Source organism: Homo sapiens, chromosome 8, assembly GCF_000001405.40.
Source record: "Homo sapiens chromosome 8, GRCh38.p14 Primary Assembly".
Lineage (NCBI taxonomy): Eukaryota > Metazoa > Chordata > Mammalia > Primates > Hominidae > Homo > Homo sapiens.
This window is the reverse complement of record NC_000008.11, coordinates 85,403,782-85,420,140: the sequence shown is the minus strand read 5'-3', so window position 1 is coordinate 85,420,140 and position 16,359 is coordinate 85,403,782. Positions and strand designations below refer to the sequence as shown.

The 16,359-nt window shown below is 34.9% G+C and overlaps 1 annotated feature.

Moving 5' to 3' along the window:
- Window positions 15,118-15,619: an enhancer, noted in NCBI's record as "NANOG hESC enhancer chr8:86316751-86317252 (GRCh37/hg19 assembly coordinates)". NCBI's record gives its function as "activates a minimal SCP1, AML or CMV promoter by ChIP-STARR-seq in naive H9 embryonic stem cells {active_cell/tissue: H9 hESC(naive)}" and the evidence as "EXISTENCE:reporter gene assay evidence [ECO:0000049][PMID:30033119]".

The window sequence follows — 16,359 nt, the reverse complement described above, 5'->3', positions numbered from 1 at the left end:
TTGACAAACCTGACAAAAACAAGAAATGGGGAAAGGATTCCCTATTTAATAAATGGTGCTGGGAAAACTGGCTAGCCATATGTCGAAAGCTGAAATTGGATCCCTTCCTTACACCTTATACGAAAATTAATTCAAGACGGATGAACGACTTAAATGTTAGAGGTTAAACCATACAAAGCCTAGAAGAAAACCTAGGCAATACCATTCAGGACACAGGCATGGGCAAGGACTTCATGTCTAAAACACCAAAAGCAATGGCAACAAAAGCCACAATAGACAAATGGCATCTTATTAAACCAAAGAGTTTCTGCACAGCTAAAGAAACTACCATCAGAGTGAACAGGCATCCTACAGAACGGGAGAAAATTTTTGCAATCTACTCATCTGACAAAGGGCTAATATCCGGAATCGACTAAGAACTCAAACAAATTTACAAGAAAAAACCAAACAACCCCATCAACAAGTGGGGGAAGGATATGAAGAGACACTTCTCAAAAGAAGACATTTATGCAGCCAACAGACATATGAAAAAATGCTCATCATCACCGGCCATCAGAGAAGTGCAAATCAAAACCACAATGAGATACCATCTCACACCAGTTAGAATGGCAATCATTAAAAAGTCAGGAAACAACAGGTGCTGGAGAGGATGTGGAGAAATAGGAACACTTTTACACTGTTGGTGGGACTGTAAACTAGTTCAAACATTGTGGAAAATAGTGTGGCAAATCCTCAAGAATCTAGAAATAGAAATACCGTTTGACCCAGCCATCCCATTACTGGGTATATACCCAAAGGATTATAAATCATGCTGCTAGAAGGACACATGCACACGTATGTTTATTGTGGCACTATTCACAATAGCAAAGACTTGGAACCAACCCAAACGTCCATCAATGATACACTGGATTAAGAAAATGTGGCACATATACACCATGGAATACTATGCAGCCATAAAAAAGGATGAGTTCACATCCTTTGTAGGGACACGGACGAAGCTGGAAACCATCGTTCTTAGCAGACTATCGCAAGGACGAAAAATCAATCACTGCATGTTCTCACTCATAGGTGGGAACTGAACAATGAGAACACTTGGACACAGAAAGGGGAACATCACACACCGGGGCCTGTCATGGGTGGGGGGAGGGGGAGGGATAGCATTAGGAGATATACCTAGTGCTAAATGACGAGTTAATGGGTGCAGCACACCAACAGCACATGTATACATATGTAACAAATCTGCACTTTGTGCACATGTACCCTAAAACTTAAAGTATAATAATAATAAAATTTTAAAAAAATCCTAAACTAGACTAAGAAAAAAAAGAGAAAGTCTCAAATAAATAAAATTGGAAATGAAAAAGGAGACATTACAATGGATAACACAGAAATTAAAAAACTTCATAAGGGACTATTGTGAGCAATTACATGCCAACCAAGGAGTTACAAAACTGAGAAGAAATGGATAAATTCCTAGAAACATACAACCTACTACAACTGCATCAAAAATAAATAGAAAGGCTAAACAGACCAATAACGAGCAAGGCGATTGAATTAATAATCAAAAACCTTCCAAAAGGCTAGTGCGGTGGCTCACACCTGCAATTTCAGCACTTCGGGAGGCCAGGCTGGAGAATAGCTTTAGCCCAGGAGTTTGAGACCTGCCTGGGCAACATAGTAAGACCCCTATGTCTACAAAAACATTAAAAATTAGCTGGGTGTTGTGGTGCATGACTGTAGTCCCAGCTACTCAGGAAGCTGACATAGGAGGATTATTTGACCCCAGGAGGTCGAGGCTGCAATGAGCTGTGATTCTGCCACTGCACTCCAGCCTGGGTGACGGAGTCTCAGGCTTAAAACAAAAACAAAAACAAAAATCTTTCCAACAAAAGCCCCAAACTAAATGGCTTGGTAGGTGAACTCGACCATATATTTAAAGAAGAGGTGATACCAATCCTTAAACTTCCATGAAGTAGAAGAAGGAACAATCCAAAACTCATTTAAGAAACCAGCATCACTCTGATTCTAAAGCCAGACAAAAACAACACAAGACTATACTAGCAAACCAAATTCAATAGCACATTAAAAAGATCATGGAGCAGGATCAAGTGAAATTTATCCCTGGGATGCAATGATGGTTCAATTTATGAGAATCAACCAATGTAATACACCACAGTAGTAGAATTAAAGACAAAGGCCACGTGATCATCTCAATAGATGTGGAAAAAGCATTTGACAAAATTCATTATTTTTTCATGATAAAAAGTCTTAACAAAATAGGTATGGAAGAAGCTTACCTCAACACAATAAAGGCCATAGATGAAAAACCCACAGCTAGCATCATAATCAATAGGGAAATAAAGACCACATACGAAAAACCCACGTAATCATCAATGGAGAAATAATAAAAAAATTTTCTTGTAAAATCTGGAACAAGGCATGGATGCCCACTCTTACCACTGCTATGCAACGTATTACTGGAAGTCACAGAGCAATCCGGCAAGAAAAAAAAAGAAAAGGCATCCAAATCTAAAGGGAAGAGGTAAAACTATCTGTTTTCAAATGATATCTTTTATGTAGAAAACCTTAAAGATTTCACAAAAAAGCTATTCAAACAAATAAATGAACTCGGTAAAGTTGTAGGATACAAAATCAACATACAAAATTCAATGGGATTGCTATGCACCAACAACAAACTATCCAAAAAGGAAATTAAGAAAACAATATCATTTACATTAGCAACAACCAAAAAATAAAATACTTAGGAATTAACTTAAGCAAAGAGGTGAGAGACCTGAACACTGAAAATTATAAAACATTAATGAAGAAAATTTAAAATGACATGAATAAATAAAAAACACCTCATGTTCATGGATTGGGAGAACTAATATTGTCAAAATGTTCATATTACATAAGGTGACCTACAGATTCAATATAATCGCTATCAAAATTCTGATGATGTTTACAGAAATAGGAAACAAAAATTCTAAAATTCATATGGAACCACAAAAAGTCTTACATTTATCTGAACATAATTTTTTAATTTTAATAGCTTTAGGGGTAGGAGTGGGTTTTGTTTACATGGACAAATTGTGCACTAAAATCCCAGTTCACCCAATTCATGTACATTGTACCTAAAAGGTAGTTTTTCATCCCTCACCGCCTTCCCCACTTCCCACTTTCTGGGTTTCCAATGTCCATTACACCACTCTATATGCCTTTGTGTACCCATACCTTAGCCCCCACTCATAAATGGGAACATGTGGTATTTGGTTTTCAATTCCTGAGTTACTTCACTTAGAATAATGGTCTCCATCTAATTCCATGTAAGTTGTTGCAAAAGACATTATTCTGTTCTTTTTTATGGTTGAGTAGCATTCCATGATGTGGAGATATATATTATGCATATATATAATTGATATAATGACTTCTTTTCATTTGGGTAAGTACCCAGTAGTGGGATTGCTGGATCAAATGGAAGATTTACTTTTAGTTCTTTAAGAAATCTCCATATTATTTTCCATAGAGGTTTTACTCATTTACATTCCCACCAACACTGTATGAGTGTTCCCTTTTCACCACATTTATGCTAACATCTATTGCTCTTTAACTTTTTAATAATGGCTATGCTGGCTAGGGTGGTGGTATCTCATTGTGGTTTTATTTTGTATTTCCCTGATGATTAGTGATGTTGAGTATTTTTTCACCTGTTTCTTAGCCATTTGTATATCTTCTTTTGAGAAATGTCCATTCGTGTCATCTGCCCACTTTTTAATGGGATTATTTGTTTTTTTCGTGGTGATTTAAGTTCCTTGTAGATTCTGGATATTAGTCCTTTGTTGAATGCAAATATTTTCTCCCATTCTCTAGGTTGTCTATTTACTCTGATAATTATTGCTTTTGCTGTGCAGAAGCTTTTTAGTTTAATTTGGTCCCATTTATTAGTATTTATTTATTTATTTATATATTTATTTATTTATTTTTGAGACGGAGTCTCACTCTGTCGCCAGGCTGGAGTGCAATGGTGTGATCTCTGCTCACTGCAATCTCCGACTCCCTGGTTCAAGCACTCCTCCTACCTCAGCCTCTGGAGTAGCTGGAATTACAGGCACAAACCACCATGCCCAGCTAATTTTTGTATTTTTAATAGAGATGGGGTTTCACTGTGTTGGCCAGGATGGTCTCAAACTCCTGACCTCACGATCCGCCCATCTCAGCCTCCCAAAGTGCTGAGATTACAGGCATGAGCCACTGAGCCCAGCCTAGTATTTATTTTTGTTCCTGTTGCATTTGCTTTTGGGGGCCTTAGTAGATTCTTTGCCTAGGCCAATGTCCAGAACAGTTTTTTTTTAGGTTTTCTTCTAGAATTTTTATGGTTTCAGGTCTTAGATGTAAGTCTTTAATTCATCTTGAGTTAATTATTGTATATTGTGAGAGACAGGAATAATAGGGTGTCATTTTCCCAATTTATGTTTTTCTATGCTTTGTCAAATATCAGTTGGTTGTCAGTATTTTGCTTCATTTCTGAGTTCTCTATTCTGTTCTATTGGCCTATGTATCTACTTTTATACCAGTACTATGCTGCTTTGGTTACTATAACCTTGTAGTATAATTTGAAGTCAAGTAATGTGATGGCTCCAGATTTCTCCTTTTTGCTTAGGACTGCTTGGGCTACTCAGGCTCTTTTTTGATTCCATATGAGTTTTAGGATTTTTTTTTTCTAATTGTGTGAAAAATGATATTGGTATTTTTACAGAAATTACATTGACTCTTTAGATTGCTTTGAGTAGTATGGTCATTTTCATGATATCGATTCTTCCAATCCATGAGTATGGGAAGTATTTCCATTTGTTTGTGTCATATATGATTTCCCTCAGCAATGTTTTATACTCCTCCTTGTAGAGCTCTTTCACCTTATTGGTTAAGTATATTCCTAGTTTTTTTTTTTGTTTTTTGTTTTTCGTTTTTGTTTTTTGTTTGTTTGTTTGTTTTGGTAGTTAGTGTAAAAGGGGTTAGTTTTTTATTTGATTCTCAGCTTAGTTGTTGTTGGTGTACAGCAGTGCTGCTGCTATACATACATTGATTTTGTAACCTAAGACTTTACTGAATTCATGTATCAGATCTTGGAGTCTTTTGAAGGAATCTTTAGTGTTTTCTAGGTATAAGATCATATCATCAGCAAACAGAGATAGTTTTACTACCTCTTTTCTAACTTGGAGGTATTTTTTTGTCTTGCCTGATTGCTCTGACTAGGACTTCCTTAAACATAAAATTTGGAACTGTAAAATTCCTGGAAGAAAACATAGGGAAAAACCTTCTTGACACTGGTCTTGGCAATAATTTTCTGGGTATGAAAAGCATAGGTAACAAAATTAAAAATAGACAAGTGGAATTGCATCAAACTAAAAAACTTCTTCACAGTAAAGAAAATAACAGCAACCTATAGAATTGGGAAAATATTTGCAAATAATATATCAAAAATGTATTAATATCCAAAACATGTAAGGATCTCATTTAGCTCAATACCCCAAACACAAATACCCTGACTAAAAAATGAGCAAAGAACCTAAATAGACACTTTTCAAAAGAAGAAATTCAAGGGATCAACAGGCAAATGAAGATGTTCTCAACATCACTAATTATTAGGGAAATGAAAAATCAAAACCACAATGAGATAATTACCTCACACCTGCTAGTATGACTATTATAAAAAAGACAAAAGATAACAAGTGTAGGCAAGGATGTGGAGAAAAGAGAACCCGTTACACTGTTGGTGGGAATATAAACTAGTGCAGCCACTATGGAAAACAGTATAAAGCTTCCTCAAACATTCAAAATAGAAATACCGTATGATCCAGCAATCCCACTTCTGGGTATATATCCAATGAAATTGAAAACAGGATCATGGAGGGATGCCTGAATTCCATGTTTATTCCAGCATTATTCACAGTAACTAAGATATGGAAAAAACTAAAATGTCCTTCAATGGATGAATGGATAAGAAAATGTGATACACACACACAAACAATGGAATATTATTCAGCCTTTAAAAAAAAAAGAAAGTCCTGCTATTTGCAACAACACGAATGAAGCTAGAGGACATTATGCCAAGAGAAATAAACATGACACAGAAAGAGAAATACTGCACGGTTCTCAATTATACGTGGAATTTAAAATAGTCAAACATGTGGATGCAGAGAGGCCAAGGGAAGAAAGAAATGGGGTGATGTTGGTCAAAGGGCACAAAACTGGTACCTATATAAAGGTGACATGTTAATTGGCTGGAAAGAGACGATCATTTCACAATGTATATGTATATCAAAATGTCAAGTTGTGCAACTTAAATATATACAATTTTGTGTCAATAAAATTAGATCATCATGAAGTAGAGAATTTAAAAGACAAAAAACTCTTTAAATACAAAAAGTTTTTTTTATTTTAAAGATATTATTATACCTCATCTCCTAAAAATGGATAAGTCAGATAGAGCTATCATTCAAGTCTAAAGGCAACGTTTGCCTTTTGAATTCTGGGCAGTGTGTGTTCCTTTTGTTCTCAGGACGTATTTAAACCCTAAGGCTTTTTCTGTACATGTCCACTGAATTGGCCAGCCTTTATAAATGATTGTGAATCATCTCAAGGTTCAACAGGTGGGAATGGTTAAGAATAGTATAGATGCAAGAAATGAACAATTCAGTAAACACAATCCTTATGATAAAATTTATTTAATAAAATGAAAAATGCTTACAAAAAATAAAAGTAACATGCTCAGCATGCTACCTAGAATTTAGTAAGCATTCAGTAATTATTAACTTACAAAATAGAAATGTAAAGTAGATAAAATTCTGTTTGGGGTAATCAGCACCTAATCAAATGAAGATTTCATTAAAGCAGTAACAAGGACTGTTTTGTTCATAACTGTATGTTCAATACCTAGCCCAGTGCTTGACGGCAAGTAGGCATATATTAAATATTGTTGGAGGAAGGCAGGCAGGTAAGAAGAAGGAATGCAGGAAGAAAGGGAAGAAGGGAGAAAGGGAATTTCTGACAAACAGAAAGTGAATTGTCTGAAGAAATATCCTCTCTCATACCAAGGAGAAGGAATGGCTTCTGTTTAAGAATGTCTGATAAAAGACTGAAATGTATTGAAGATTTTTGAGATTATACAGAACCGAATAGGGATTGGAGAATGATTTGTATGCATGTGTTATGTACCTAAAATATGACACATATGTATAGAGTCTACTCCAGTGTGTGAGTACCTCCAAAATATGCCTCCACCGCTATCATCCTAGTCCAAGCTGTAGACATCCCTCATATGGACCGCTGCCATCTGTTCTGTGTATGACTAGAATGTGCTAAACTCCTCCCAGCCTCAGGGCCTTTCAGCATGCTGCATTCTCTATCTAGACTGATCCTGCCCTAAGCTCTGCACCTGCAGGTTCTTTCCCAACATTAAGGCTTCAGCTTAAAAGTCACTAGCACAGATTGGCTTTTTCTTACTATCCAATCTAAGCACATTCCCCCTCTTAATTTTTGAGAGTTGGTATTTATGTTCTTTCTTCCATTTATCAAAATCTATACTTTTTCCTTTGTCTGTTTCCTTGAATGAATTAATCAATTTATTTCTGGTCTGCCTGTCCAAAAGTTATTCTGAACAAGGAAATAATTTATTGAGGAAAAATACTATACTGCTCTTTTCTTCATCCAAAAACTTAAACTTTGTAGCAGGGCCTTCAAATTGAAATCAACCAGATATTTTCAAAACAGCATACCATAGAGCACCTGTTGGGCACTCATTCACTATTTACAGAAAAATAAAATCACCATGCAAGTCGCAGAAAAGTCCTTTGCCTAACACGAGTAAATACGGTAATTTCCATCCCTTACTCATTCCATTCTTTGGTAGGCATCTCCTAGCATGGCATGCATACTGAAATCTCAATTCAGGAATGAAAATCTGAAACCAAGCTATCTACTTTTGTGTACTCTGGCATTGTCTCATTTAAAATAATCCAAGAATGAAAATATGAGCTAAGCTGTTTGCTTTTTTAAACACTGAACGTGTCGATCCTGAAATTCCATTGGACAGGCATTTACTCTCCATGAAGATAAGAGTCCCTGTTGACCTTGAGTTACTCAAATGTCTTAACTATACAACACCCCTCCCCATATATGTATGCACTCTAAGCAGGTAGAATTCTAGCCAGATTATCTAACTGCAATCAACCTATTATAACACATTAAATAACATAGAGACCAAAAGAGTTTTAGGAAAGCAGTTAAGAGCTGAAGTTCTGAATTAGAGTGACCTGAGTTGGAAGTCTAGCTTTAACATTTACAACTCATGTATCCTTGAGAAAGTTACTCGGCCTGTCTAAGGCCTCAATTTCCACATCTATAAAATGGGAGTAATAAAATATTGTTTTTGTCAGACTAAATATGATCATGCATGTAGAATATTTTTATAACAGTTTTCTCAATTTATATTAGCTGATACTATAACAATAATGTTATAATTATTATTGGCTCTTTGAGCTCAAATGGATCTTGTAAGACATTGAGGCAATCTTCAATGAAGTTTCAGTAATATCTCTCAATTATTTAATAGTGTTCATATAGATTACTCTTGCATAATTCCCATGAAAAACTGCTCACTAAATTACAAAGTAGATTATTCCATTTTCTACAACTCCCAATTATCTGAAAATAATTCATGAACAGAAATTTGTCTCCCTGTCTTGTTTGAGTTTGAATTCTACTAAAGTAAATAGAATTGAATTAAACCATCAGCCCCAAGACATCCCCTTAAATCTTTGAAAATAGCTACTTTACTTCCCTTCTCCCCACTCCCACTGCACCATCCAGATCTTCCTATTCCAAGCTAAACACCCCCAGTCTTCACATGACACAGTTTCACTCTTCTGGTCTCTCTCTGAACATGCTCCAGTTTGTCAATATCCTTCCTAACAATAGCCACCCCAAACTGAACAAAATGCTTCACAATTTGTCAGACAATAGCAGTGACCAGAGTGCAATTACATTCCTTTTCCTAGACACTATATTTTAATGCAGGATAAGAATGCCTTAGCTTTTTTGGCTAACACCTTTGAATCATATTGAGCTTGCTGTCAATTAAAATATCCAAGTCTTTTTCATGTGAATTCCTGTTAATCCAGTTCTCCCTCAATCCCGTATTAATTTCAGCCCATAGTTCCAGTCTAATGAGATCTTTTCAAATCCTGATTCTTTCTTTGAGCATATCAACTATCACTTCCAGCTTTGTGTCAACAACAAATGTGGTCATCCTGCCCTCTGTCTTCATTTATGTTGTTGATAAGATTATCAAATGGGATCCAGCCATTCTCAGAGCCCTGTGACAACTCTGGGGATGTCCCTCAAGATTGAGATCAGTCCATGAGTTAACATTCCCTGCATTCAGTTATTCAACTCTTTGTGACTATCCGGAATTACATCATCACTCAGTTCCTATTCTTACCCACAAGCACGCTGCTATTGGAAGCATGCCATAATGGAACGTCATGGACTTTTCAGCCCCATATAATTTAGTTCAAATTCTTTGTTACTTTTTAGCTGTGTGACATCAGGAGAGTTATTTAACTTCTCTGAGCTTCTCTTGCCATATTTAAAGCATAATTTTTAATTAGTAGGCTAGTTCTGTAAAGAACTGTCATATTGATCTCTGAATCTCCAATAGCCAGCACAATTCAGGTACATTCTTAGTAAATTTCCAACAGATAATGAATTACTAAACAAGCAAACAATCAATGACTGGATCCAAATTACTTACTTAAATCATGATACATTGTCTATAGGTTGTTTCTCTAATCTGCTTGTCTAGTTTCCTTATGAAAAAATGGTAATAAATTATGTTAGTCAAGTTATTCTTAAGTGATTCATTGCTGGTTCCTAATAATCATCATACCTCTTCATTTTTTATTGGTACATAATTCATATATTATAAAGCATATTCTTTTAAGCTGTACAGTTTAGTGACTTTTATTCACAGAGTTGTGCAAACATCGCCAGACTCTAATTTCAGAACATGTCATCAGCATGAAAAGAAATTCTATACCCATTATCAGTCACTTTCCATTTCCTTTCTAAACCCCGAGCCTAGACAACCACTAATCTACTTTCTGTTTCTACAGATTTGCCCATTCTGGATATTTTATATAGATGAAATCACTTACTAGGTGGTCTTCTGCAACTATATTCTCTCACTTAGCATAATCTTTTCAAGGTTCATCAAGGACTTAGCATGTATCAGTACTTCATTTCTTTTTAGGGCCAAATAATATTCCACTATATGGATGTACCATGTTTTATTTAACCATTCATCAGTTGATAGACTTTTGAGTTATTTCCACTTTTTGGTTATTATGAATAAAGGTGCTATAATGTTTGCATACAAGCTTTTGTGTGAACATATTTTTCATTTTTCTTGGATGTATACCTAGTAGTAGAATTGGTGAGTCATATGGTAACTCTATATTGAACCTTTTGAAAAATGGTTTTTCAAAAGCAGCTGCACCATTTTAAGTCTTATCAGCAATATAAAAGGGTTCAAATTTCCCTACATCCTAGCTACCACTTTTTATTGTTTGACATTTTTATTATAACCATCTTAGTGAATGTGTAATGGTATCTCGTTGTGGTTTTTATGTGCATTTCCCTAAGACTAATGCTGCTGAACATTTTTCATGTGCTTATTGGCCATTTGTATATCTTCTTTTAAAAACGTCTATTAAAAGTAGTTGCCCATTTTTCTGTTGCACTGTCTTTTTTATCGTAAAGTTGCAAAAGGTCTTTTATATTCTGGATAGACTAGTCCCTTATTAAATATATGATTTGCAAATATTTTCTCTCATTCCATGAGTTGTCTTTTAACTTTCTTGATAGTGTCTTTTCAAGTACAAAAGTTTTCAGTTTTATGAAGTCTAATTTATTTATTTATTTTGTTGCTGCTCATGATTTGATGTCATGTCTAAGAAACCATTGCCTTATTCGAGAAAGTTTTGTTTTCTTGTAAGAGTTTAATAGTTTTTGTTATTAAATTTAGGTCTTTGATCTGTTTGGAGTTAATTTTTTGTATGTGGTGTGAGTGGTCCAGTTTTATTCTTTTGCATGTGGACATCTAGTTGTTCCAGCACCAATTTTTTGACATAACTATTTTTTTCTCCATTGAATATCCTTGGAACCCTTCCTGCAAATCAATTGACCATAAACTTGAGATTTATTTCTGGACTTTCAATTGTTTTCTAACGCTCTATATATCTGTTTTTATGCCAGTACCACATAGTTTTGAATACTGTAGCTTCACAAGAAGTTTGAAATTGGTAGTATGAGTCCATCTTTGTTGTTTTTCAAGATTATTTAAGCTATCTAGGTTTCCTGCACTTTCATATGCATTTTAAATTAAGCTTGTCTATTTCTGAAGAAAAGACAGCAAACAGCTGGAATTTTTATAAGAATTGCATTGATTATGTAGATCAATTATCATCTTAATATTAAATCTTGCAATCCATGAACATGGGATGTCTTTCCATTTATTTAGATCTTCTTTAATTTCTTTCAGCAATGTTTTAGTTTTCAACACACAAGTCTTAAACTCCTTTTGTTGATTTTGTTTGTAAATATTTTATTCTTTTTTATACTACTATAAATTGACTTTTAAAAATTTTCCTTTCAGATTATTCATTGCTACTACATAGAAATAGAATTAATTTTTGCATAATTATTTTGTATTTTTCAACTTTGTTAAGCTTGTTTATTAGCACTAGTAGCTGTTGTTTTGTATCTTCCCTAGAATTTTCTACTTATAAGATCATGTCACCTGCAAATAGAAATAGTTTTACTCTTTCCTCTCTGATTTGGATGCCTTTTATTTCCTTTTCTTGCCAAATTACATGGAAAAATCTCCAGTACAATGTTGAAAAGAGTGGTGAGAGTGAACATCCTTGTCCTGTTCCTGATTCTGGTGGGAAAGCTTTCAGGCTTCTACCATTAAGTATAATGTTAGTTGTGGGTGTTTTGTAGATGCTATCAGGTGGGGAAATTTTTTTTCTATTCCTGGTTTGTTGAATGTTTCTATCATGAAAGGTTGTTGAATTTCATCAAATACTTTTCCACATCTACTGAGATGATCATATGAGTTTTGTCCTTTATTTTATTAATATATTGTATTATGTTGATTCATTTTCACATGATGTAGCAACCTCACATTCTGGGATAGATCCTACTTACTTAAGTGTGTAATCTTTTTTTCTGTCTTTGGATTCAGTTGACTAGTAATTCAGTGAACCAATATTTTCCAAATGAACAAAGAATGATACTATGAAATCATGCATGGGTAAACAACCTATTTAAAGTACAAGATAAAATCCAAAGCCATGGATTTTAATGCAACAGAGTGTGGATAGTTTATTAATATGGTTTCAGATTCTACACTGGATCTAATATTTAGAAACCTACAACTTGTTGAGTGTTAGGATAATATCAAAAATAGCTACAATTCCATGAAAAAGCTAACAAAATTCAGTCAGTTCTGCTTTCACACAGAAAAATCTGAATTTGTGCAAGCCAGAAAACAAATCTGTTTTGTTTTGAAGGCCTGAATATTTTCCAAAGAGAACCATTAGGTGAATGCAGAACCCAAAAACTCCAGACACACACCTCATGAGGACATTGAGCCACATCATCTGCACTCAGTGTCACAATTGTTCCATGTGATTTCAGATCACCTCTTGCCACCCCTTTACAAAAACTTTCTAGCTACAAGCTTGAGTTTTAGGATAATATAGCCACAATTATATGGAAAAGCCCCTGCCCTAAAGACTCTTTCATTTTCCCATTTCCTCTTGGCTTATTATATATTTTTTCTCTCTGCTCTCATCTCTCTTCCTCTCTCCTTACCCTTGCTGCCTTGTTCTTTTATTCTTGCACACATGATGGTGGGTGAGGAAGCCAGTCAGGCAAGCCTGGTGGGAGTGGGAGTTCAGGCACCCACTTCCACAAGCAAACTTTAGATATTTTTCAAGGTAAAATACCATAAGTATTATAGTAGCCATTTATTTCTTAACCATTTAGAATGTGTAAACTGTGCTCCCGTTTTATTAGATTCCATTCTGTTTAATTAAATTCCTACCTGCTTTTTATGTGTCACTAAGTTTTTGAGTATTATCTCTTAAATCCTATTTTCTCATAAACCTTGTGATCTATTGTATTGGGATAATGTGACTAACATTAAATTCACCATTTAAGCAATTTTAAAACATACAATCCAGTGTCTTTTAGTATATTCACAATATATGGAACTATCACCACTAATTCCAGAAAATTCTCATTACCCCAAAAAGAAACTTCATACCTATTAAGTAGTAACTTCCAATTTCCCCTCCACTACCCCCTTGCACTGGCAACTATTAACCTACTTTCTATGAATTTCTTATTCTGGACTTTTTAGATAAATGAAATCATACAATACATCGACTTTTTGTCTGGCTTCTTCCACTTAGCGTAAAGTTTTCAGGTTCATCTATGTTTAGTATTTATTGGTACTTCATTCCCTTTATGACAGAATAGTATTTCATTGTATGAATATATGACATTGTGCTTATTCACTCATCAGTTCGTGAACATTTGGCTTGTTTACATTTTTGGCTATGATGAATAATGCTTCAGTAAACACTAGTATATAAGTATCTGTTTTGAGTCTCTCTTTTCAATTCTGTTGGGTATATAACTAGAAGTAGGATTGATTAATCAGGTACTAATGCTATGTTTAACTTTTTGAGGAGCAGCCAGACTCTTTTCCTTTCTTTTTTAAAAAAAATTATAGCCATCTTAGTGGGTATAAAGTTGTATCTCATTGTAGTTCTTATTTACATCCACATTCATAAGGGATTTTTATCTGAAGGTATTTTTTTGTTGTGATCTATCTTTCTAAGTTTGGTATAATGATATTATTGGCCTTATGGAATGCATTTAGAAGTGTTGTCTCCTGTTCCACTTTTTGGAAGATTTTGAAAGGGTTGGTGCTAATTATTCTTTAAATGTTTGGTAGAATTCACCAGGGAAGCCATCTGGCTCTGGGCTTTTCTTTGTAGAAAGTTTACCAATTACAGATTCATTCTCTTTACTTGTTATAGGTCTATTCACATTTTCTGTTTCCTTTGGAGTTACTTTTGGTAATTTGTGTCCTTCTAGGAGTTTGTCTGTTTCATTCAGGTTATTTAATTTGTTGGCACACTGTTGCTCATTGTATTATTTTATAATCCTTTTCTTTGTTCTACCTTTTACAATTTAAAGATCATTCTCCTTGTTAGAAAAGAATAGCTGATTGTTTTTAATTTATTCCCTTAAAATTTCATCAAACAAAATTTGTTAAACTGGACTACAGTTACTAATATTTATTGAATGATAAAATTTATGAATTTTTTACTAATGTTTATAAGCAGGTCCTTTTTACTGTTCTGTCCTTTTGCAGGCAGGCAGAAGGTGGAGATGGAAGTGGAAATTGCCTTTTTACAATATATGGCACATTGAAATCTGTTTGTGTGTCTCTCTTTCTCCATTTGAGAAATACTGATTCCCAGTATTTGTGTTCTCCTCCAGGATTTTCTGCCTTGGTCTTTTTATATCTGGGACATGCTTGCTGCCATTTTTGTATGTATCAAATGGAGACAGATGTGCCATGTCAGTAACATTTACACTGGGAAACAAAAAACAAAATGTTCCAAAAGCAACTTGACAAATAATTCACTCTTACTTTTTCTGGGTATCTGTTAAAATAAGAGTTTCATTTTTGGGAGAGCTCCACTTCACATTCTGCCAATGTTTATGCATGTGAGCATATAACTCAATAAATGTGTTGAATAGACTTCACATGTATAATTCCCTCCTCCTAGAAGATACCACCTCTTCTACCCACAATAGTTTATTCATGTGGGCATTCATTTATTGACTGATGCAAGAAATTTGTGTTGCCATATGCCAGGAATACAGAGGTGCACAATAAAATAAATGGACAGATGCACCTGTCCTCATGGAGCTTACGTTCTACTGAGGGGAGACAGACAATAAACAAAACTGATAGAGAAATTTGATAGCATATCAAAATGCAACTAGTGGTTTGGAGAAAAAAGGAAAAGAAATCAGAAGTGTGAGAATAATTTCACAAAGGGTGTTCATTTGCTTCCCTGAAAAAGTGGCATTTGCACAAATAACTGGAAGATCTTTTCATGATATGATTCCCCTGTTGAAACTGGTATCATTATAGGTTTCCTCCTTCAAAGTCTCCCTTTGACATGCAGCATCTGCTTTCCCGCCCCCTGTCATGCACCCCACTGTTTCTTATGTGCCGCTCTTCCACCTCCGACACTTCCATGCATACTTGTCCCTTTTCCAGTCCTCATCAAATATCTTTCCACTGTGCTTACTATGGAGGATGTGTCCTCCCAGCAGGAGAGACATTTGTTCCTCTAAGTGACATTTTAAAAAAGTATTTGACTTATATTGTGAGCCTCTTGTAATAGATATATGTCCTCTGAAGAATTTTCCCTTTGGGACGTGCTCTCCAAGTTCGCCTTTCTACATCTTCTTCACATGCTGCAATATATTCCAAAACAAGGTTGCCAATTTCTATTATTTTCATGTGGGTCATGATTCTCTACAGCTAGAGCAACCTGTCTTTTCACATGGCAAATAATAATAATAATTAAATTATTTTTAATTACTTAAAATGTTTTTAATTCCAGCTAATTTTGAAAAACTATTTAATTAACAAGTGTTAAATTCAATACTTTATATGTACAAATAGAAAGCAGCCTACCAGTTTTTGTTTTTAATTTCCTTAAGACAGACACCTCCTATTGAATTACCAAAAGAGTCCCTAAAATCAAAAACCTGGAGAAACCTGGTGTTCCTCCAGGGATATTTATATTATCTAAAGATATTTGTATTCAAGGATTTTGTTGTTGTTGTTAATGAGAAGTTTTATGAGGGTAAGATAAATTTTTAAAATTGTAGAGTAGGGCCGGGTGCGATGGCTCATGCCTGTAATCCCAGCATTTTGGGAGGCTGAGGCAGGTGGATTGCTTGAGCCCAGGAGTTCAAGACAGCCTAGACAACATGGTGAAACTCTATCTCTACTAAAAATACAAAAATTAGCCAGGTGTGGTGGTGCACACCTGTAATCCCAGCTACTCAGGAGGCTAAGGCACGAGAATCACTTGAACCTGGGAGGCGGAGGTTGCAGTGAGCCAAGATCGTGCCACTACACTACAGCCTGGACAACAAAGCTAGACCCTGTCTCAAACAAAATAAAACAAACAAACA